This window comes from Homo sapiens, chromosome 7, assembly GCF_000001405.40.
Source record: "Homo sapiens chromosome 7, GRCh38.p14 Primary Assembly".
Lineage (NCBI taxonomy): Eukaryota > Metazoa > Chordata > Mammalia > Primates > Hominidae > Homo > Homo sapiens.
In genome coordinates this window covers 24146398-24169660 of record NC_000007.14, presented here as the reverse complement: position 1 = coordinate 24169660, position 23263 = coordinate 24146398, and the positions used below count along the sequence as shown (strand labels likewise).

General features: G+C 40.7%; 1 long non-coding RNA gene across 1 annotated transcript in view; it reads left to right on the top strand.

The window, feature by feature from the left end:
* The window catches only part of LOC107986777 (uncharacterized), a 303857-nt gene that overhangs the window by 275478 nt on the left and 5116 nt on the right, over positions 1-23263 (top strand). The gene's annotated exons all lie outside the window — the stretch shown is intronic.

The window sequence follows — 23263 nt, the reverse complement described above, 5'->3', positions numbered from 1 at the left end:
TATCCTCTCACCCTCTGCCCTCAAGTAGACCAATGTCTGCTGTTTCCTTCTTTGTGTTCATAAGTTCTCATCACTTAGCTCCCACTTATAAATGAGCACATGCGGTATTTGGTTTTATGTTCCTGCATTAGTTTGCTAAGGATAATGGCCTCCAGCTCTATCCATGTTCCCACAAAAGACATGATCTTATTCTTTTATATGGCTGCATGGTATTCCATGGTGTATACGTACCACATGTTCTTTATCCAAAGTGTCAATGATGGACATTTAGGTTAATTCCATGTCTTTGCTATCGTGAATAGGGCTGCAGTGAACATTTGCGTGCATGTGTCTTTATGGTAAAATGATTTACATTCCTCTGGGTATATACCCAGTAATGGGATTGCTGAGTCAAATGGTAGTTCTGCTTTTTGGCAGTTTCCTCTTTGAGGAATCTGCAGATGTAATTAAGGTTTCTAACCAAATGACCATAAGATGGGGAAAGTATGCTGGATTATCCAGGTGGACCCAATGTAAGCATAGTGGCCTTGAGATAGAAGAGGGAGAGAGACAAAAGGCGAGGGTCAGAGGAAGAGCTGACTATGGAAGAAAAGCAAGCTCTGAAAGCTGCAAGGTTGCTGGCTTTGAAGATGGAGGAGGGGCCAAGAGCTAAGGAATACAGGCAGCCTCCAGCAGCTGAAGGGGGCAAGAAAACAGACTCTCCTTTAGAGACTCCAAAAAGATATGCACCCTGCTGAGTAATCAATTTCAGTCTTTTGAGATCAAGGTTGACCCTCTAACCTACAGAACTATAAAATAATAAATTTGGGTTATTTAAACCTCCAAGTTTGTGGTAAGTTGTTACAGAGACTGAATATATTCTTTCAGCTTTTATATTGTTTCATTTTTTGAACCATGTCAATATAAAGCCATTATATTAAATCAAATTCTCAGTTTCCAGAAAAATTAAATGCCACCTTTATCATATACTAAATGGACAGTCTGTACATAAGTCTGTTTCCACAGGTCTGTTTATGGATTTTTAAAATTCTATTCCATTGATCCATTTCCCTAACTTCTGACCAATATAACATTGTTTTAATTATTATTATCTATGCATTTATTTTTATATCAGGCATGGAAAATCTCATTATCTTTTTAAAAAATTTTCATCCTTGTTCATATTATTTTCTGAATGAACTTTAGCATTATTTTGCTGAGACTCATTAAAAAATCATATTGGGCTATATTTAATTTAGCAATTAATTCAAGGAGAATTAACTTCATTACAGTATTGAGTCTTTACAGTAAAAAACATAGAATATCTCCTTGTTTGCTGAGTTTTTCTTTATGGCCTTAAGTAAAGTTTTAAGATTGGTTGAAATGCATGCATATCAATCTTTCACTTTGCTGGTTAGGCTTATTCCTAGTATCGATGTAATTGTGGGCTCTTTTTCCCTATCAATTTCTAATAGGAATATAGGAAAGCTATTCATTTTGAAAAATGTTGATCTTCTACCTGTTCAACTTTCTCATATCACTTAAAATTTTGGGTTTTTTTTTCAGTTGATTCTCCTAAAACTTAGTATTGCAATTAATAAGTTGCTTTTAATTTTCCAATATTGCCATTTCTTATCTCTTTTCTTGTTTTACTACATTATCTATGGCTTTTAGTACAATGTTGAACAGCAGAAGTCATAGCTGAAAGCCTTGTTTTGTTCCTGACTTAATAGGAATGTTTCTTTTTTCTATTAAGTATGATGTTTGCTATAGGTTTCTATTAACATTTTCTAAATTAAGGAAGCTTTATTCTATTCCTAGTTTGTCAAGAACTGTTGTTGGTAGCAGGTGTTAAAATTTTATCAAGTGCTCTTTCAGTATCTATGGAAATGATCGTATGACTTCTATATTTTAATATAGCAATGTAATGAATTATAATATCAGATCCCTGATATTAAAATATCCTTGCATTTCAAGGATAATGCATGCTTTGTCATAATGTATTATCATTTCATTTTATTGCTAGTTTCAACTTAAAAATATGATTTATTATCTTTGTGTCCTTGTTCGTAAATGTTTCATATTCTTTTAAAGAATTTATATAAATAATAATTATTCTCAACTTGTGTTTCAGTAGAATTTACTTTAAAAATGATTTCTTGTCTTCTTTAGGAATAGGGCTTATATTTTCAGTTTTTTTTATGGTTATTAGTCTGTAGTTTTTCTATTTCTTTGAATCTATTTTAATTATCTGTATTTTCATAGAAAATCATGTATATCTTATTTAAACATAGTGGTATAAACTTGCACATAGTTTTGTCATTTTTAAAAGGTCTTATTGGTGTTCATATTCATTTTTAATGCTATTTACTAGGGTCATCCATCTTATCTTAATCAAGCTGTTTTATCTGATCATTTTGAAGTATCAGATTTTGCTTCTATTGTTCAAATACACTTTTTATGTTCTGTTTTATTTATTTTTATCTTTAAGCTGAAGACTTAGGTCACTTACTTTCAGTTTTTATTAGTTTCTGATAAATACTTTCATGCCTGTAAATTTCGCATGGGATGCCACTTTTCCCACACACCACAGCTTTTAATATGTAGTGATGTCAGTGTTGTTTATTTTTTAAATGTTATAATTATTAAATTTGTGCTATATCCAAAATATAAAAGACGTTTAAAGGTTTCAAGATAGACTATTTTTGACCACTCTTCTCAAATTCTTTTATTGATTATTTGGCAACCTATTTTGTATTGATTTTAAGTATTCTTCTTCTTCTTTTTTTTTTTTTTTTTTTTTTTTTGACTGAGTCTTGCTCTCTTGCCCAGGCTAGAGTACAATGGCACGATCTCAGCTCACTGCAACCTCCGCCTCCCGGGTTCAAGCGATTCTCCTGCCTCAGCCTCCTGAGTAGCTGGGACGACAGACGCGTGCCACCATGCCCAGCTAATTTTTGTATTTTTAGTAGTAGAAACATGGGGTTTCACCATGTTGGACAAGATGGTCTTGATCTCTTGACCTCGTGATCCTCCCACCTCGGCCTCCCAAAGTGCTGGGATTACAGGTGTGAGCCACTGCACCTGGCCTAAGAAGTATTCTTTTTAAAGCACAAATCTGATCCTGCTTCTCTCATGCTTCGGTGGCTCCTCACTACCCTCAGGATAAAATTTAAATTCTCTCACAGGGCATCTTCACAGCCCTTCACTCTCTCAGCCTCACTCACATCTCAGTATCCTTGTTTATTATTCCTGCTGACTCCTCCCAGTCCCACCCATTCAACTCCACCCTCCAACCCTCCCACCATTTATCTCATTGAATCACAACTGTGTACACTTCAGCTACATAGAATTCTGTGTTATTTCATAAATGGGCTGTGATGTTCTCTCTTGCTTCAGGAATGTAGCTTGTTTGCTTTCTCTGTGGAAAACATTTTTCTCATTTCTACTCCGTTAATTGAATGGTTCCTGCTTATCCTTCAGGTCTGAAAATGCGTGTCAGTTTCTCCAGAAAGCCCCCTGCCAAGGTTAAGGAGCCTCTGTGTATTACTCTGTTCTCACACTGCTGTAAAGATACTACCTGAGGCTAGGTAATTTATAAAGGAAAAAGGTTTACCTGATTCACAGTTCTGCATGGATCAGGAAACTTACAATCATGCTGGAAGGCAAAGGAGAAGCAAGCACCTTCTTTACAAGGTGGCAGGAGAGAGTGAAAGTACGGGGGAAATGCCAGACACCTACCAAACAACCAGATCTCATGAGAACTCCCTCACTATCACAAGAACAGCATTAGGGAACCACCTCTATAATCCAATTACCTTCCACCAGGTCCTTCCTGATAGCAGCAGGAGACAAATTCCTAGGCAGATAGGGGAAGGTCCCCCATGAAAGCCAACCTTCAAGCCAAAGACAACCTGAAGCCTGAAAACCAGGCTTTCGGTTCCGGGTAGAATCCACAACCTGGAGTGAGAGCTTCCTTGATGCCTTTCAGCCAATCAAATGGTGTTTGTTTTCTCCAAGCTCACCCATGGACCAATTAGCACACACTTCCTGCCACCCATGGACCAATCAGCATGCATTCGCTCCATTCTAAGCCCATAAAAACCCCCAGACTCAGCCACACATAAGGACCACGTGCCTGCTAATAGAAGCTACCCACTTAGGGTCTCCTCTCCATTGTCACTCAATAAAACTCTTCTCTGCCTTGCTCACCTTCCAGTTTTCCACCTAACCTCATTCTTACTGGATGCAGGACAAGAACTCGGGACCTGCTGAATGGTGGGTGCAAAAAGGGCTGTAACACTTTTCTGGCTAGCTCACCGAGCTGCAAGTGGGAGCAAAAAGGGCTGTAACATGTTTCTGGTTGGTTCACCAAGATGTGGGTGGTGACACACTCCTGTTTCCCAGAGTGTGGATGTGAAAAGCAGTGACCTTTCTGGGGGCCCAGACCTCAGGAATCCCCTAGCCACAGCTGTAACACTATAGCCCTCCCACCCTCTGTTGCTACTGGGTGGCCACCTCATGTGACAGGAAGGGGCAGTGGGGCTGGGCCAGCCCAGGAGCCACAGGCCAGAGCAAGGTGGTGGGTCTGAACAAACTGAAAACATTCCTCCACCATTTGCCCAGCTGTGCACAGCAGGAATGAGAGCTATAGCACACTGCCTTCCACCCCTTGGGACTCCACAGTTGCTGGCATCTCTGAGTTTTCAGGTGCCATTGCATCCACTGTCCAGAAGTGGGTGCCTGCAGCAGAAGCCACTTGTGGTATGCCTGGTCCAGCCACAGCCCCCAGTGCCAGTTCCTAGAGCTGCCCACCCTGCCACAGCAGCCAACATGCCTGTCTGTGCATAGTGGCTGGACCCCACACTTGCTTGCTCATACACCCCTTACCATTGCATGCCTGGCTACCCTTGGCGGGTGTGGAATCTGGGCCAGTAGCATGAGCCAGGCATAGCCTGCTGGGCCAAGTAAGTAGAACCAGCCACAGAGGTTGCTGGCTGGTGAGGCAACACCTAAAGGATCCTGTGACACTCCCTTGACACGTGGGGATTACAATCTGAGATAAGATTTTGGTGGGGATACGCAGCCAAACCATATCATTTCACATCTGGACTCTTCCAAATCTCATGTTCTTTTCACGTTTCAAACCCAATCATAACTTCCAAACACCCCCTCAAAGTTTTAACTCATTCCAGCATTTACTCCAAAGTCCAAGTCCAAAGTCTCATCTGGGACAAGGCAAGTCTCTTCAGCCTATGAGCCCATAAAATCAAAAGCTAGTTAGTTACTTACAAGATACAGTGGGGGTATAGGCATTGGGTAAATGTTCCTGTTCCAAATGGGAGAAATTGGCCAAAATGAAGGGGCCACAGGCCCCATGCAAGTCTAAAATCCAACAGGGCAGTCATTAAATCTTAAATCTCCAAAATGATTTCCTTTGACTTCATGTCTCACATCCACGACATATTGATGCAAGAGGTAGGCTCCCAAGGCCTTGGGCAGCTCTGCCCCTGTGGCTCTGCAGGGTACAGCACCTGCAGCTGCTTTCACAGGCTGGCGTTGGGTGCCTGTGGCTTTTCCAGGCATATGGTCAAAACTGTTGGTGGATCTTTCTTTCTGGGGTCTGGAGGGTGATGGCCCTATTCTCACAGATCCCTAGGCAGAGCCCCAGTAGGGACTCTGTGTTGGAGCTCCAATCCCACATTTCCCCTCTGCATTGCCTTAGTAGAGGTTCTCCATGAGGCCTCCATCCTTGCATCACACTTCTGCCTGGACATTCAGGAGTTACCATACATCCTCTGAAATCTAGGTTGAGTCTCCCAAAACTCAACTCTTGTCTTCTGTGCACCCACAGGCCCAACACCACATGGAAGTCACCAAGGTCTGGAGCTTCAGCTCTCTGAAGCAATGGCCTGAGCTGTACATTGGCCCCTTTTAGCAGTGGATGAAGCTGGAGCAGCTGGAATGCAGGGTGCCATATCCCAGGGCTGCACAGAGCAACAGGACCCTGGGCCTGGCCCACCAATTTTCCCTTCTAGGCCTCTGGGCCTTTAATGGGAGGGGCTGCTGTGAAGGTCTCTGACATGCCCTGGAGACATTTTCTCCATTGTCTTGGCTATTAACTTTCAGCTCCTTGTTACTTATGCAAATTTCTGCAGCTGGCTTGAATTCCTCCCCAGAAAATGGGTTTTCCTTTTTTATCACATGATCAGGCTGCAAATTTTCCAAACCTTTATTCTCTGCTTCCCTTTTAGACATAAGTTCCCATTTCAAACCATCTCTTTGTGAACACATATAACTGAACGCTTTCAGAATAAGCCAGGTCACATCTTGAATGTTTTGCTGCTTAGAAATTTCTTCCACAAGATACCCTAAATCATCTCTCTCAAGTTCAAAATTCCACATATCTTTAGGGCAGGGGCAAAATGCTGCCAGTCTCTTTGCTAAAGCATAGGAAGAGTGACCTTTGCTCTACTTCCTAATATGTTCCTCATCTCCATCAGAGACCACCTCAGTCTGGACTTCATTGTCCATATCACTATCAGGATTTTGGTCAAAACCATTCAACAAATCTCTAGGAAGTTCCAAACTTTTCCATATTTTCCTGTCTTCTTTTGAGCCCTCCAAACTGTTCCAAGCTCTGTCTGTTATCCAGTTCCAAAGTCACTTCCACATTTTCATATTACCTTTATAGCAGTACACAACTCCTGTTACCAATTCTCTGTGTTAGTCCATTCTCACACTGCTATAAAGATACTATCTGAGAATGGGTAATTTACAAAGGAAGGAGGTTTAATTGACTCACAGTTCCGCATGGCTAAGGAAACTTACAATCCTGGTAGAAGGCAAAGGAGAAACAAGCACTGTCTTCAAAAGATGGCAGGAGAGAGAGAGGGACAATGCAAGGGAAATGCCAGACACTTATTAACAACACGATCTCGTGAGAACTCCTTCATTATCATGAGAACAGCCTGGGGGAAACTGCCCTTATGATCCAATCACCTTCAGCCACGTCCCTCCCTCAACGAGTGGGGATTACAATTTAAGCTAAGATTTGGGTGGGGACGCAGAACCAAACCATAGCAGTCTGATAGTCTCAACGTAGCACATTCTACATCACCTCTCCCATTACATTGCAACGGTCCATTTACCTGTTTGTAACTTCTACTAAAATTGTGAGCAACTTATGGGCAAAAGACTATGTCTTGTTCACGCCACTGTGTTATTCCCTTCTCCTTAGCCCATTTCAAAGTGCCTGGTGCTCAGTGAATATTTGTTGGATATTCACTTATTCAACAAATGCATGTATATAAGTAGGGAAAACAACGGAAAGAAAAATTACATACAAAACATTTTTAGTTATTTATTATGAACTTACTACCTTCCAGACACTGTACTGAGTATATTATATGTACTATTTATTCACACCATGATGATACAGAGGTTATCTTTAGGGAAGATTTGAGAAGATGTTTATTTTATTCATTCTATTTTATTGAATTTTCCCAATTTACAAATATTCTTCATAGAAACCAGAGAAAACAGTTATTTAAAGGTGCTTTTTGCCTGTGGAGGTCATATATATGAGTATAAAATGCATAAAGGGAATGGCCATTCTCTGAAAACTGACCTTGTGGACATAGCTCTAAGCCAATGGGAATGCAGAATGTGTTGTGGCCTCTCTCTAGACCTCCAGAGCTTCAATCTCTGTCAATTCTAAAGGCACTTGTGGGCTCTATGCATGTGGCACTCCTTGTTTGTTTCTCGAACCCCTAAGTGAAGTAGTCCTCACAAACACAGCTGCTGCTTCTTTAGACATTGCTGATCTCTCATTCACTATGAAGCTGTGAATAAATCAAAGACTTGTCTTGCTGTGTGCTATAGAATCACCAATGCAACATAATAAAGCTTAAGTGGGCAGCATCAAGGCCACTGGAAAATATTCTTGAGCCTGCTCACCTCTATTACATCCCCATCCATCCTATGAAACCACATAAAAATTCTAACACATTAATATTCCTAGTTTATGCCCACAATTCTCAGAACCCTCATTTGGGGCCTTTGACTAATGCATAGTTGTTTGAACAATAAAAATTGATTTTTTTAGTTCACAATAGAGCTTTGTGTGAGCAAGTGCACGTGCTTTTCATTCAAACATAAATAGCCCCACTTAGTTGTGAATGAAATCAGCATTTATTGTACTAATAGTTCACAAAATGAATTAAACATACCTAGAGTTGAACAAGCTTTATTCCTACCTTCAACCACGATGTCTCTCCTTTCTCAACCTCTATCTCAAAAGGATACTTAAAAATAAATTCTGGAATCATAAGAAATAAGAGTGAGCAATATAGGTTTATCTATTGCAACCTTAGTAAACATGAATAACACCTCATTAGACATTAAATCACCAGTCTTTATTCCTCTGCCTGTGAACTGGTTTCATATCACACTCAATACTTTTATGGGAAGTTATGGGAAAGGGAATGCAGCATCTGGTACCTTTGTTTTCTTTCTTGAAAACCTCAACCTTCTCAATAATAGAGGTCCCCTTCCAGCTGTGATATTTTATGACTAATCTTTGCAGTTTATAATCATAATGTTCCTCATGTATTACATGATTCCTGTGTGCCAGGTGCACTCATTCTCCTAACAACTCCATGGAGTAGGTATTATCCCCATTCTAAGGAAGCGGAACCCAAGTCTTAACCAGGTGAAGTCCTGTGTCCAAAGTCACAGCTGCTAAATGGAGAAGCCTGGGCTGGACTAGCATCCAGCACTTTGTCTTTCAGCAAAATGACTAGCAAGAGCAAACAACAAAAATCATCCCCAGCACTGCTGGATTGTTTTTCATTTAAAAAAAATGCATAAACAAATAAGCTGCTAGATTATTTTTTCAAGTTCCTATTTGTCTTAGGCTCCATGTTTCTTGAGCATTTAACCCTACTCTCAGGTAAATGTTCAAGAAAAAGCTGCCTTGGCCAGGATCCCCGCATCCTACACAAAATATGATCATGGGGAACTGGGTTTTGGGAGAGGCCTTGGTGTGAACCTTAAGGTAGGAAAGTTGGAGAAATTCAAAGATCAGGAATGTGGAGTACAGGGTTTCAGGCATAAAGGTTGAATAGAGACACCCACTCCCACTGTGTTCCATTCCCCAAACACAAATCTCTTGAGGCCACAAAGCACTGAAATGTTGTCATGACAGGTCATACCTCTGAAAATCACAAAGTACAATAAATTTGTCTTGCATAAATGTTCTACTCATGTCTTCATCAGCAATGCAGTTGGCCACCAAAGGAATGGAGAGCATTGAGCCATGCCTAGATAGTGAGGAGATGCTAGTAAAATAGTAACAAAGCATATAATTCCCCAGTCAAATGGAAGTAAAAATAGCAATTAAGTCCAACTAAGTTAACACAAAACATGTTTTTAATGTGCATATTGATTGGTAATACAGATCCTGTCTTGGTATCCAAGGCTGAAGGTGGGGTTAAAAAAAAAAACAAAAAACTGGAGTATGTTCTTTCTTCCCAAGTCTTTGCTTTTCCATGCCTCAAAGCAAGAGAGGGGTGCACTCCCTTCCACTCAGGAGGTGGGAAGGCAAGTGTAGCTGATAGGTTTCCAGGTAACTCCCTAGCTACATAATGGGATGAAATATTTTCTCACCCAAGATCACAGTAAGTGTCCAAATCTGAACGGCAACGAGATGCAGTCGGTAGTTCCGGCTACTCAGGAGGCTGAGGCAGGATGTTCGGTTGAGGCCAGGAGTTCAAGGCTGTACTGCACTATGATTGCACCTGTGAATAGCCACTGCACTCTCGCCTGAGCAACATAGTGAGACTTTGTCTCGAAAAAATCAAAACAAAACAAAAAAATCTGAAAGGCAAGAATTGCTGACTGGGAGGGCCAGGCATAAGTTGCCAAAAGCAGAGACTAGGGGATGATGGGATGGGGGCATAGCTAAGGGATAGGATCAGAAGCTGGCATGGGGTCCTATGGAGCTAATCATCTGTGAACTAAGATTAAACAGTTTGGGAGTCAACAAGGAGGGTCTGGGTCATCCTCAAAAACAGCATCTCCTCTTTGAGACCCCAAAGCACCAACAACTAGACAGAGCAAAGGGAAGAGGTAACATGAGAGGACTCATGGAATCAATGCTGGAGGGGCTCAGGATCCATCATCATGATAGGTGACATTTAGTGTGTACTTACTTCATGTCACCTTGTGCTACACGCTCTAAAAGTATCGTCTCATTTAACCATTGCAAACCCTATATAGGGAAGCTGACCACAGAGCCCAAGCTTTGAACCATTCCACTTTACTGCTATCTAAAGAACTTCATGCCTCCCTGAGTCCCGGACACATCCTTCTTAAATGGTAGCTTGCAGACTGATCTGAACAAAAGAAGTGACTAATTCTTGAATCTCCTTTAGCTATTACAGCAAATCATTGTACAGATGCTGTACTCTGCAGAGGCGCCAGCACTCTAATTATCCTGTGGAAGGATAATCAATGCCAGCTGCCAGCTAAAGGAATGCAAAATCTCCACTGAGTAACCAAGAGCCCCTGCTGAGACTGACTGGAAGTGAGTTCAAGGAAATCTTTTTAATGTTAAAAATAAGTTTAGGCCGCGTACAGTGGCTCATGCCTGTAATCCTAGCACTTTGGGAGGCCGAGGCAGGCAGATCACCTGAGGTCGGGAGTTCAAGACCAGCCTGATCAACATGGAGAAACCCCGTCTCTACTAAAAACACAAAATTAGCCAGGCGTGGTGGCGCATGCCTGTAATCCCAGCTACTCGGAAGGCTGAGGCAGGAGAATCGCTTCAACCCAGGAGGCAGAGGTTGTGGTGAGCCGAGATCATGCCATTGCACTTCAGCCTGGGCAACAAGAGCGAAACTCCGTCTCAAAAAATAAATAAATAAATAAATAAGTTCAAATCAGAAAGCATGGAAGGGTGGAGTCAAAATCCAACAAGAGCATTTGTAACAACATCCTCAAAATACCCCATCTTCCAGATTAAGGACACCCTGGAAAGGTGACAGATATGCTCATGTGTTCTTAGGAATCTGAACTCCTACAGAGAAAAGTTTTCCTCAGTCAAGAGTTTCTTGCTTCATTTGTTCACTAGCTTCTCTCACTTTTCAGCATTGTTCTTCTTCTCTCTCCCCTTTTTCTAAAGATTTTCTACCACCCCAAAACTTGTTCTCCAACATTCCCCAGGGTCCAAGAAAGTACCCAGGATGATAGCCTGCATTCCAGTTCTTCCCAAATAAAACTCCTGCAAGCCACTATTTTAGATTGGATTCCCTAGAAGCAGAGCCTGAGACAAGGATTCTTGTAGATGTAACTTATCAAAGAAGGAGGGTTCTCAAAAGAGAAATGAGACAAACAGGATGAGGCAGAGAAAGGGGCTAAGCAAGTGTGCCATCTCAGCAGGACCCTGACTGAGAGCCTGGTCTCATGAGAGCTCTGGAACAAGAATGTACCACAGAGCCCATCCCTCTGTGGGGAAAGGGGACCAGCCTTTTGTCCTCCATGTCAGTCAGTTGTTGGCTGTACCCTAAGGGGTAGTACATGGGGAGGGGCATAACCCCCCCAGGTAGGCAGCCTGTGTGTGCTAGGAAAGGGATGGCTCTGGCTTGACTGCTTTCCATTTTCATAGTTGTATTCATCTTGTACTTTGTTCCCAGATGGGATTTCATACTTTCGATTGCCCAGTTTGCGCTGTTTTCTAAAGAGAGTGAAAATCTTGCTTCAGTGGCTCAAGAATATAGCAATTCTCAGTAATCTGTCAAACTATTTACTTGGGTTATGTTTGGGGTGTTTTTTAAAAAATCTATTTTTAAAATTGTAGGGAGAGCCACCAAGTCTCTCCTGACTTGCAGCATTGCACAACACATGAAAGTCTCTTTGTAATTCCTTTCGCATTTTGAATTATGTCTGTCCCCTCACAAAGTATCATTTGTTCTGCCTCCTCTAGTTCTGACACCAATGTAAATGAGGCCTATTTATGGAGATGGTAGAGAGATGGCAGCCATGCAATCTTTACCTTTCCTTATTTACTATAGGAATGAAGCCGATTGTCTTCCAGCCCACAGATGGCACATGTTTCAAGCTCAGAGGATGAAAGGTCTGAGGAATATTTCAACATTGATTTAGAGGCAAGAAGGAAAGGGCAATGAGTTACCTGGGTCCAGGAAGATATCCCAAGAAATACGGAGTTGCTGGGAAGTTTGGTTTAAGAGGCAGAGGTCAAGTATTAATTGTATCATCATGTAGACCCCAGCAGAAAAGAATAGCTTAGAGCATAAGCTCTGGAGTCTGAGTCTCAGGGAGTCTGAGAATTCTGAGTTCAAATCCTAGCCTCTCCACTCTTAAGGCTGTGTGTGATCCACGGTGTAATCCTGGGAAAACTACTCAGTCTCTAAAACTCATTCCTCTTCTGGGAAATGGTGATAAAAATACATACTTCTCAGGGGTAATCCAAGAATTAAGTGAGAAAATAAATCTGTGAAGCTTAGCAAAACCCTTGGTACCTGGTAACTCTATTTGTTCTTTTGGTTGCAAATAACAGTAAATTGCTCATGTGGGTTAAGCATTAAAAATGGAAATGTAAAATTAGGCTACACAGCTCATAAAGCCCAAGAGGAGGATTATCATCAGGCCTCAGGAAGAGACTAGAGCCACTGTGTTAGTTCAAGTCCTCCTGATGCAGATGCCAAGATGGGATTAGCTGTAGAAGAGTTTAATTGGAGGAACTACCCATAAAGGGAGTAGGGGAAGGAGCTGGGGAAGACAAAAAGAGCCTGCAGATCGTGGTGCAGGTCTGACTCCTGTGGAGAAGAGGGGGAAGGAAGCAGGGTTGGGCAAGAAAGAACCTTGGACTGCAGCTCAGCTGGAGAACATCCCAGGCAGGCCCACAAGACACCTTAGAACCAAAGTTTCTGGGTTGAGGAGTCCTGTATCTTGCAGGAATGGACCTGTAACTCATCCTGCTGTGCAAGGTTATTGTTGGGGAGTAGCCCACTGGGGAGCTTTGGAACTGTTGTGGTGGTGGGTCCAGCTGTCAAAAAGTAACTGGGTCTCCCTCTGAGCCCCAATTCCTATTTTATAGGACAAGAGGCTAATCAGCCACATTTGGGTTATGTTCATTGCTGACCAGGGAGGGCAGGGTCATAGATATTAATTATCATGGGACGGGAGGGGTGGAGTAATTTCCAGAAAAGTGACAGAAGAGGCAGAGACTAGTACCAACAGACAACTCAATAGGAAAATATTCAATAAAAGGTGCCAATATTACTCATGGTGTCACTTTAAAATAGTTCCCAGCATAGATAGTGTGACATATGAAATTGACAACTAGTGTAAACATCAACTCTAAGCATTCAACTGTCCTAACAGAAGTCCCACATTTTAAAGGTGGCCAGCTGGCAATACATCAGAAACACCACCCTTTAGAGGAGATGACTACACGTGCTTCAGCACTCCATCTAGCAATCAGTGCCCAAGACCTTGTTAATTAGCAAAGTGAATGTCAGAAACGGGATTTTATTATGAAAATAATGACTTGATAACTAGCGATGATAAATGCTAAAAATGGGCTTTCATCGATAAAAATTACAGGTATTTAAAATATATGGATTAGCTGAAATCCTTAGAGACATATCTCTTTATTTCTTGCCTAGGGTATAAGAGCCCAGTTATGCTGTCACCTGCACCCTTAGGAATGGTGCTTTAGTTCTCATCCCTAAATGGTCCTGTGTCCAGGCCCTGATTGGGAAGATTCTGGTTTTCTGAGTGGTCCAGGACTTTACTGACTTCACAGAACAGGATGTTAACTGATGAGTGCTTGCTGATGTATGTTCTGTTCCATAAATAACTGTCCACGTGGCAGGATTTGGTCTCACTTCCACATCACACAATCGTCAGCTTATGGAAAAGCCTTAGGCCCCACCCACCTCACGGCTTCTTTGGCATCTGTTTTTATCATCCCCAAAAGAACTTTAGGTTTGGAATGTGACTAGACTGAGTTAGATCAGGTTGCAATGATAATGAGAAAGCCATTAAGTCACTGGCTCCTCCATGAAGCTCCTAAACCCCTGTGTCCCATCTGAAAAAAGCTCGGGTGCTCTAAATGCAAACCCCTCAGCTGTCACTCTGCTTGGTGATGTAAGAGTTTTTTGTTTGTTTTCCAAATACATGACTCTCCTCCCAAGATTGTATTAGATGAGAACGTTCTACCCCTCATGTCCTGCCCATAATACATGCCTACCTCAATTTCTTGAATAAATGAATGAATGTCTGAAAAAATGTGCAACATCATTCTACCCTCTTGTGCAGTTCTAAGGAGCAGGCAGATTCCTTGTGGTTTTGTAGCCCTCTCCAGCTTAGGCTGACCTTGTTTCCCCCTTTTTCCCTCTCCCAGAGGCCCTCTCCTGACCTGTGTCAGCACCGCACTCCCTTCATGTTAGCAGAACCAACAGAGCTAGCGCCTCACACAGAAAAATCTGTGACCTTTCAAAGCGTGACAGGTAACAGCATAACAATAATAGTCAATCTCCAGAGTCCTCCAACTTTCTTCCCAACTACTGTGACACTGTATTAAGGTGGCGGCCACAATAGAAAAAAGGAAAAGGATGCTGGATTGGAAAAAGCTATACAGTGTGTGACCTACCATGCAAATATGGAGATGGCAGCCCCTATCCCCCACATGTTCAGCACAGGACTTGGCTTCACTTAACACAACACTAAACACTCACTAAGTTTTCCATTATTCATTTGCCAGTTTGTAGCTTTTTGTGGTCTCCTTGATTCTCATCCCAGAATTGCATGTTTTTAAATGCATGTTAGCATTACTACAGAGGATTTAAAAAACAAGATAAAGGAATGGAAGGAGAAAGGTGTGTTAAGTCAATGTAGCCTTAAATCAAGGTAGTGATTGGGCCTGCAGAGGAAGCTAAACTGAGAGCTGGTGATGGAGAGTGGACTTCCAATCAATTGCATTGGGCCTGTTTCCCATTATAGCAAATAATCGAGAGCTGTCTGTAGAGGCATCAAAATTTCCACTTTAGCATGGTCCAGCATAGTGGCAATGATGAGGGCAGACATAGTCACTGTTCACTATCTTTGACATAGTTCAGACATTAAATATCTCAATTTTTTAGCTATAAAATGGGAATTAAAATAATGCTTTTAATTAACTTACAGGATTGTTATAAAATAAAAGCATGAACATAGACATCTTTGTTAATCATACATACAGGGCCATTCCACCAAGGGATGACCATTAGAATTATTTTTCCTCAATAATACCTACCACCAACATGTGAATCATTCTCCAAGTCTGTGGGCTAGCTAAGGAGTGGTAACTAGTTTCCTTTAAAAATATATGAAAAAGATTTTTATCCATGCCACTCACTCAGGAAAAAAAGTCTCTACAAACATCAGGCTAAATGAAAACTTCACTTCTGAGGATTATATTTAAATGCATAAACTAGTGCAGGAAAAAGACAATCACCTTTGCTTCAAAACAGGGAAGGTTTCCAGGGTCTCTAGGTTTTCGTCCTTCCCTACCTTATCTTACCTTCTCTTAGTTTTCTAGGGTCAGAAATCAACTTTCTTTTTTAATCCCACAGTCTTTAGACTTGATCCTGCTGTTTTAGGTGTGCCACTGTATCCCACCATGTGCAGTACAAAGCATGGGAAGGGGATAGAACGTTTTTTCTCATCAGATGCCACACATTCAGCAAGAAAAGTTAAAACCCTTAATTTCTCCCACTAACGACTGAATTGTTATCCCAAAAATGTATATGTTGAAGCCTTATGTGATGGTATTTTGAGATGGGGTCTTTGGGTCATGAGGATTGATAAACGAAAAACTTCAGCCAAATAAATTTAAATTTAATTGAGCAATGAACAACTTGTGAATTAGGCAGTCCCCAGAATCACAGCAGATTCACAGAGACTCCAGCACAGCCATGTGATGGAAGAAGATTTATAGACAAAAAAAAAAGGGGGGGGGTGGGAAATGACATACAGAAATGGGAAGTGAGGTACAGAATGGCTGGATTGGTTACAGCTCGGCGTTTGCCTTATTTGAACACAGTTTGAACACTCAGCAGTATATGAATGGCCGCTGCATTGCCCAAGACTCAGCTATTGTTACAGGCTCATACTCCTAAATTAGGTTTTCAATCTTGTCTATCTATTAAGCTAGGTTGCAGTTTGTCCACAAGAACTCAAATATAGAAGTACGGAGTCCTTCTCAGGCTATATTTAGTTCACTTTAAATAAACTGCTCACTTTAACTCTTGAGGGTGGAGCCCTCAAGATGGACTGTTGGTGCCCTTGTAAGAAGAGACCAAACAGTTTGCATTTGTCTGCTTGCTCTCTTGCTCTCTCTCCCTTACTCTGTCTTTCGCTCTCTCCCATGTGAGGACACGGTGAGAAAGCAGCTGTCTACGAGCCAGAGAGTCCTCACCATGAACCAAATCACCCAGTACCTTGATATTATACTTCTAACCTCCAGACAGTGAGAAAATAAATTTCTGCTGTTGAAGCCACCCAGTCTAAGGTATGTTGTTATAGAAACCCAAGCTGACTGAGACACGCCCAAGCAGTAAAAGAACAGATGGATTTCACAGTAAAAGGTTAACTATAAACAAAAAATGTTCTTGCAACAAAGGACAATTTTGGGTGAGTGCAAATTACTCTGCTTTCAGCCAGAGAAGCCAGTCCAGGGCACGGCCCCAGGAAGGTCCCTGCACACCCCTTGTCTGTCTCCATAAGCCAAATGGGAGCATTGTAACAAGCTGAGAGAAAGGAACGTTAGGACCCTCAAATCTTAGGATCCAAACTTTAATAAGTATCAATTGTTCCTTTCTCATGTGTATTAGTCCTGGTGAGTTAGCTTATGCTGCAAAAACAAACAAGGCTCCAATTTTATTTCCACTTATGCTACAAGTTCATTGAGGACAACTGGGGACTGTGCTCTGTGTCCTCTCTTTAGGACCCAGCCTGGCAGTCCCTATGTGGAACACTGCCCATTGCTGTGAAAGAAGTAAAATGAAAACTTGGCAAATGATGCATTGGCTCTGAAAACCTCCACCTCGAAGTGGCACACATCACTTCTGCTCACATTTTATTACCAGAAGTGAGTCACATGCCTACACTTAACTCAAGGGGGAGGGAAAGGCAACTCTACCATGTGCCACCTGGAGAACTGGAAATATTTAGTGAGCAGTTTATTGTCTACTACACAGTGCTTAGAGGTGAAGAGAGCATCAAGAGAGGGGTTTTTAAGAGTTTTTCTTTTCCTAATTACTTTCTTCCTATATCTTCCAGATATCCCCACCAGTCAAAACAATCTGCCTCCTAGAGTGTTTAAAATTCTGATATTTCAAACTTTTCAGGACTCAAGGGGTCCTATTTTCTTTTAATGCCCAAATGACACTAGACCCAGCCCCCATTCTACTTGACCTCAGGAGGTCCCACCTCTCACAGGAACTCTGGCCCCAGGCACGTCATTGCATAACCCTGGTTCATGCTTTCCAATCTGGCTCTTGAGCACTGCTCCAGACTGGGGAGAAGGAGAAGGGATGGGACTTATGAAGGAAAACATTCCAGAAAAGTGGCATTGAGTAAGAAGAACATTTAGGAAGAAAATCACTGATCCATAATAGTTTTTTAGGAATGCAGAGAAAAATCAAGGATATATAAAATTATCTTAAACCAAGGAGGAAAGGTAGTAGCATTGAATGTGGATGAGACTGTACTTAGCATTTGCATTTTGTATCCATCAAGATGCAATGGATGGGAGTTCTGATTCCTGCTTAGGATGTTGAAAGCTGGAAAGAGCTTTGATAACATACCAACAACAAGAAAAATCCAGATAATAGAAAATTATAGTTTGTAAAACTCATCAGAGAGCTGAAGCCACAGGCAACCAAGTCTAAGGAAAGACAGGTATCTCCAAGAAGAGATGAAATGTGGGCACAAACTCACCTGTGGCAGAATATGGAAGGCAGGAAAGCCAAGCACCATACAAGTAAGAACTCAGGTGAAATTTTTAATGTATTGCTACAGGCTAATGCTAGCATCAAAGAAGAGAAACCCTGGGAACTGCAGACACAAAGGGACTTTGCAGGTTCTTCAAGCACAGAGAAGGGCAGGATGGGAGATGTGAGAGAACCTCCTCTGGTAGTGAATATCACCCCTTCCAAAGCCCTTCTCCCCTGTGAAACAAATGACTTCACCTTCCTGGAGTAAGGGGAGTAAACCTGTAGCCTCCGGGGCACAGAGAAAGATCCACAGTGTCTGAAGGAAGGAGAAAGAAAGGAAAACCTCTATCCTGGGGAAGGATTGGGAAACTATCAGCACAGAATGTTAGAGAGCTCCTACCATCGAGGAAGGAGAAGGATGACTGAAAAGCCCTGCCTGTGAAACCCACAGGCACAGGGCGCCTGATTCTGAGACAGGGCCACCTCCCGCCCCGAGGCTAGCAAACACAGAGTGACAAGAAACAGTAAATTAATGCTGTGTGAAGAGCAAGAGTACAGAGAGAGACTACCTTCTGGAGTAGGCAGAGAGAAACATTGAGAAAAGCCCTCCAGCAACCCAGTCCTCACCCTAAGCATAATGTAACACTATTAGAGTAGCAGACGGGGTGAACTGACAGCAACCACAGCAACCAAAAAGCCCAAATCCAGCTCAATTCCAGATCAATTCATCTTCACTCCCAACTACCCCCCACCAAACACACTCTTGTGGCCAATCAGAAGAGCCATGTTCATTTCTAGGCATAAATATATTTACTTCAGTCTCTACCATCTCACAAAGTATTCACATTCAATCCAAAATTAAGAGATACACACACAAGGAAAGGAAGAAAAACATTACCCTAAAACCAAAATTAGACAAAAACGTTGCAAAGTAAGAAAACTACAGGCCAGTATCCTTCGTTAATGTTGATGCATTAATGTAGATGCATACAAAATGATAGCAAATAAAATTCAGCAATAATAAAAAAAAATCATGAAACAGTTGGCATCATCCTAGAAATACAAGGCTGGTTCAATATTCAAAAATCAAATATAATGCATGATATCACCTGACTAGAGAAGAAGAACCAAATGATCAGATCAATAGGTGCAGAAAAATCATTTGACAGAATTCAACATCTTGTCATGACAAAAACTCTCAGCAAACTAAGAATAGAACCTCACCCCTAAAAAAGGCATCTACAAAAAATCTACAGGTATCATCATATTTAACAGTTGAAAGACTGAATGTTTTTCCCCCAAAATGGGACAAGAAAGACATATCCACTCATTACTTTTATTTAATATTGTCTATATTCTAGCCCATGCAATAAGAGAAGAAAAATAAATAAAAGACAAATAGAATGGGAAAGAAGAAATAAAACAATCTCTATTAACAGACAACATGTTTTTGTAGAAAATCCCAAACAATCTACAAAAAGAAGCTTCTGGAACTGACTAACTAATGTACACAAAAAGCTCATAGAACTAATGAGTAAAATTAGTAGAAATACAAAGCCAATAGAAAACAGTCAATCATATTCCCTATACAGGCAGTGAACAATTGGAATTTAGAATTTTTAAAAAAAAATACCGTTTACAATAGCACAAAAAATGAAGCACTTAGGTAGGAATTAAACAAAATATACATAGGATCTGTATACTGATGAAAGACCTCTGATGAAATACATCAAAGAAGATCTAAATAAATGGAAAGATCCACCATGTTCATGGATCGGAAGATTGAATATTGTTAAAAAGTCAGTTCTCTCTAATTGATTCAAGGCAATCTCAGTCAAAAAGCTCTTGCTTAGATATCAACAAGCCAATCCTAAAATTTACATGGAAAGACAAAGTAACTAGACTAGCAAAAGCAATTACTAAAATGAAGAACAAAGTTCAAGGACTCACACTACTCAATTTCAAAATTTACTATAAAAGCTATAGTAATCAAGACACTGTAGACTTGACAAAAGAATAGACACATTAAGTAGAAAGACCAGAAGTTGGACCACACAAACACAATCAACTTATTTTTGACAAAGTTTAAAAGGCCACTCAATGGAGAAAGAATAGAATTTAATTTTTTTTTTTTTTTTAGATGGAGTCTCTCTCTGTCACCCAAGCTGGAGTACAGTGGTGCAACCTTGGCTCTCTGCAACCTTCGCCTCCTGGGTTCAAGTGATTCTCCTACCTCAGCCTCCTGAGTAGCTGGTACTACAGGCACGTGCCACCAAACCTGGCTAATTTTTGTATTTTTAGTAGAGATGGGGTGTCACCATATTGGCCAGGCTGGTCTCGAACTCCTGACTTCGTGATCCCCCTGCCTTGGTCTCCCAAAGTGCTAGGATTACAGGTGTGAGTCACCACACCTGGCCAGAATAGACTTTTCAATAAATGGTACTGGATTAGTTGGACACCCATAGGCAAAAAAAAAAAAAAAAAAAAAAGTAGAATCTCAACAACTCAAACCACCTGACACCTTATACTAAAATTAACTCAAAATGAATCAAAGAACTAAACGTAAAACTTAAAACTGTAAAACTTCTAGAAGAAATAATAGGTAAAAATATGTAGTACTTCGAGTTTGGTGATGACTTTTTCAATATGACATAAAAAGCCTGATCGATTTAAAAAAGTAATTATTTGGGATTTCTCAAAATTAAACAGTGCGGATGAGACACTTAAAAGAATGAAAAGACAAGCCATAGACTTGGAGGAAAATATTTGAAAATCACATCTCTGATAAAGAACTTGTATCCAGAATATATAAAGAATTCTCAAAACAAAGAAGTCTCAAAACACTAGAAAAACAACCCAATTTTACAAGGGGGTGGCAATAATTACATAACTATAGAAGGTATAAAAATAGCAAATAAGCATATGAAAAAGTGCTCACATACTACCACATACTTATTAGAAGGGCTACAATAAATTTTTTAAATGACAATATCAAGTTTTAGTGAAGTGGCCACTGGAACTCTTGTTCATTGCTGGTGGGAATGCAAAATCATACGGCTACCTGGGAAGAAAAATAGTTTGGCAGTTTCTTGTAAAGATAAACATATTCACCGAGTCTCCCATTCCTAGGTATTTGCCCAAGAGAAGTGGAACTTACGTCCACATAATAACATATACATGAATGTTTACAGCAGTTTTATTGATAATCACCAGAAACTAGAAACATCTCAAATATCTTTTAACTGATGAGTAGATGAACAAACTGTTGTACATCCACAGTATTCAGCAACAGAAAGGAATGTACTATGGATACCCACAATAGCATGGGTTAATCTCAACTGCATTCTGCTACATAAAAGAAGCCAGGTTCAAAAAGCTACATGCTGTGTGACATCCTTCTCCTTCCTCAATGGTAGGAGCTCACTAAACTCAAAGTACTACATATTTTTACCTATTATTTATTCTAGAAGTTTTATAAAAAAACTATATGACATTTTAAAAAAAGCAAAACTATAGGTACAAAAAAATCAGATTAGTGAATGCCAGGGGTTACAGATAGAGTTAGAGGTGGTCTACAAAAAAAGTTGAACAGGAGAAATTTTTGGAGTAATAGAACTGTTCTATATCTTGATTGTGGTAGTCATTACATGACTATAAGCCTTTGTCAAACTCATTGCAGTGTACTCTAACAAGATTTATTTTACTGCATGAAGTTAAGACCTCAATAAACCTGAATTTTTAATGCCATGAATTGAGATTTAGAGTAATAGCGTCTTTGACTTGCATATCTGATAGGAGACAAGAGGAGAGGATTTTTTTTGTGGGGGGGAGGGGTTGCAGTTTAAGCACTGGAGGCCAATTCATAAATTTCTTTTCTTTCCTTAAAAGAGAATGCAGGCAACCATGCTTTTCAAGGCAACATCTCCACAACAACCACTGAATGTTACCTTTCCTTACACTATTTTGAAGGATGTGCTACTTTAGAAATAAGCAAGCCACCCTCTATAATAGCAATCATTTTTAAAAACTGACTTGTTATCTTTGTTTTTGGTTTTTCATTGACACATAATAATTATACATATTTATGACGCATAATAATTACACATATCACAGTGTGATGTTTTGACACATGTCTACTTTATGTAATGATCAAACCGTGGTAGTTAGCACATTCATCACCTCAAACATTTATAGTTTATTTGGATTCTATATAATTTCTTGGACACAATTTGTAACTAATAGTACAGCTTTTCTCAAGGAAATTATATGATTGAGATTAAAATTCACTCAAGTATACATGGTCATAACAAAGCAAAGATGATAGTTTTCATGATGAAAACATCAATTAGGAAATATTAAGTTTCCATGGGAAATTATATTAGCTGACTTCCTGTACTGTATTTCTGTCATATAGAGCAGAGGTCCCCAACCCCTGGGTCACAGACAACCTGTTAGGGACCAGGCTGCACAGCAGGAGGAGCGGTGGGCGAGCCAGTAAAGCTTCATCTGTAATTTACAGCCCCTCCCCATTACCGTCTGAGCTCCATCTCCTGTCAGATCAGTGGTGGCATCAGATTCTCATAGGAGTGCAAACCCTACTGTGAACTGCACATGTGAGATCTAGATTACACGCTCCTTATGAGAATCTAATACCTGATCATCTGCCACTGTCTCCCACCACCCCTAGATAGGACTGTCTCGTTGCAGGAAAACAAACTCAGGGCTCCCACTGATTCTATATTATGATGAGTTGTATAATTATTTCATTATATATTATAATGTAATAATAATACAAATAAAGTGCATAATAAATGTAATGCACGTGAATCATCCCCAGACCATCCTCACTCCCCACACCCCAGTCCATGGAAAAATTGTCTTTCAAGAAACCAGTCCCTGGTGCTAAAAAGATTGGGGACTGCTGATATAGAGAAATACTTAGAGAATTCCCTTAAAAACTGAACACTATTTAAATGCATAAAGTTTTAAACATTTATTCACTTGTGAAAGTGAAGTGGCCATTTTAAACAGGAATTCTCCATTTCAGCTTCCATGTGAGGACAGGTTACAGCAGATACTCTATTTGCCCATATAGCTCCTGCGTGTGAATTAGAAAGAGAAGCCCTTTCCTTCAGGCAAACATAGTTGACCCTGGGATACCCCAATTGGCCTGCAGAGAGGGGACTGAGCTTTCAGATTCAGGCCCCCCCAACTCAGCTGGGGGCCCTTTGGCATGACACAGTTATACATGTTAGCCCTGTTGCCACTACAGAAATGGA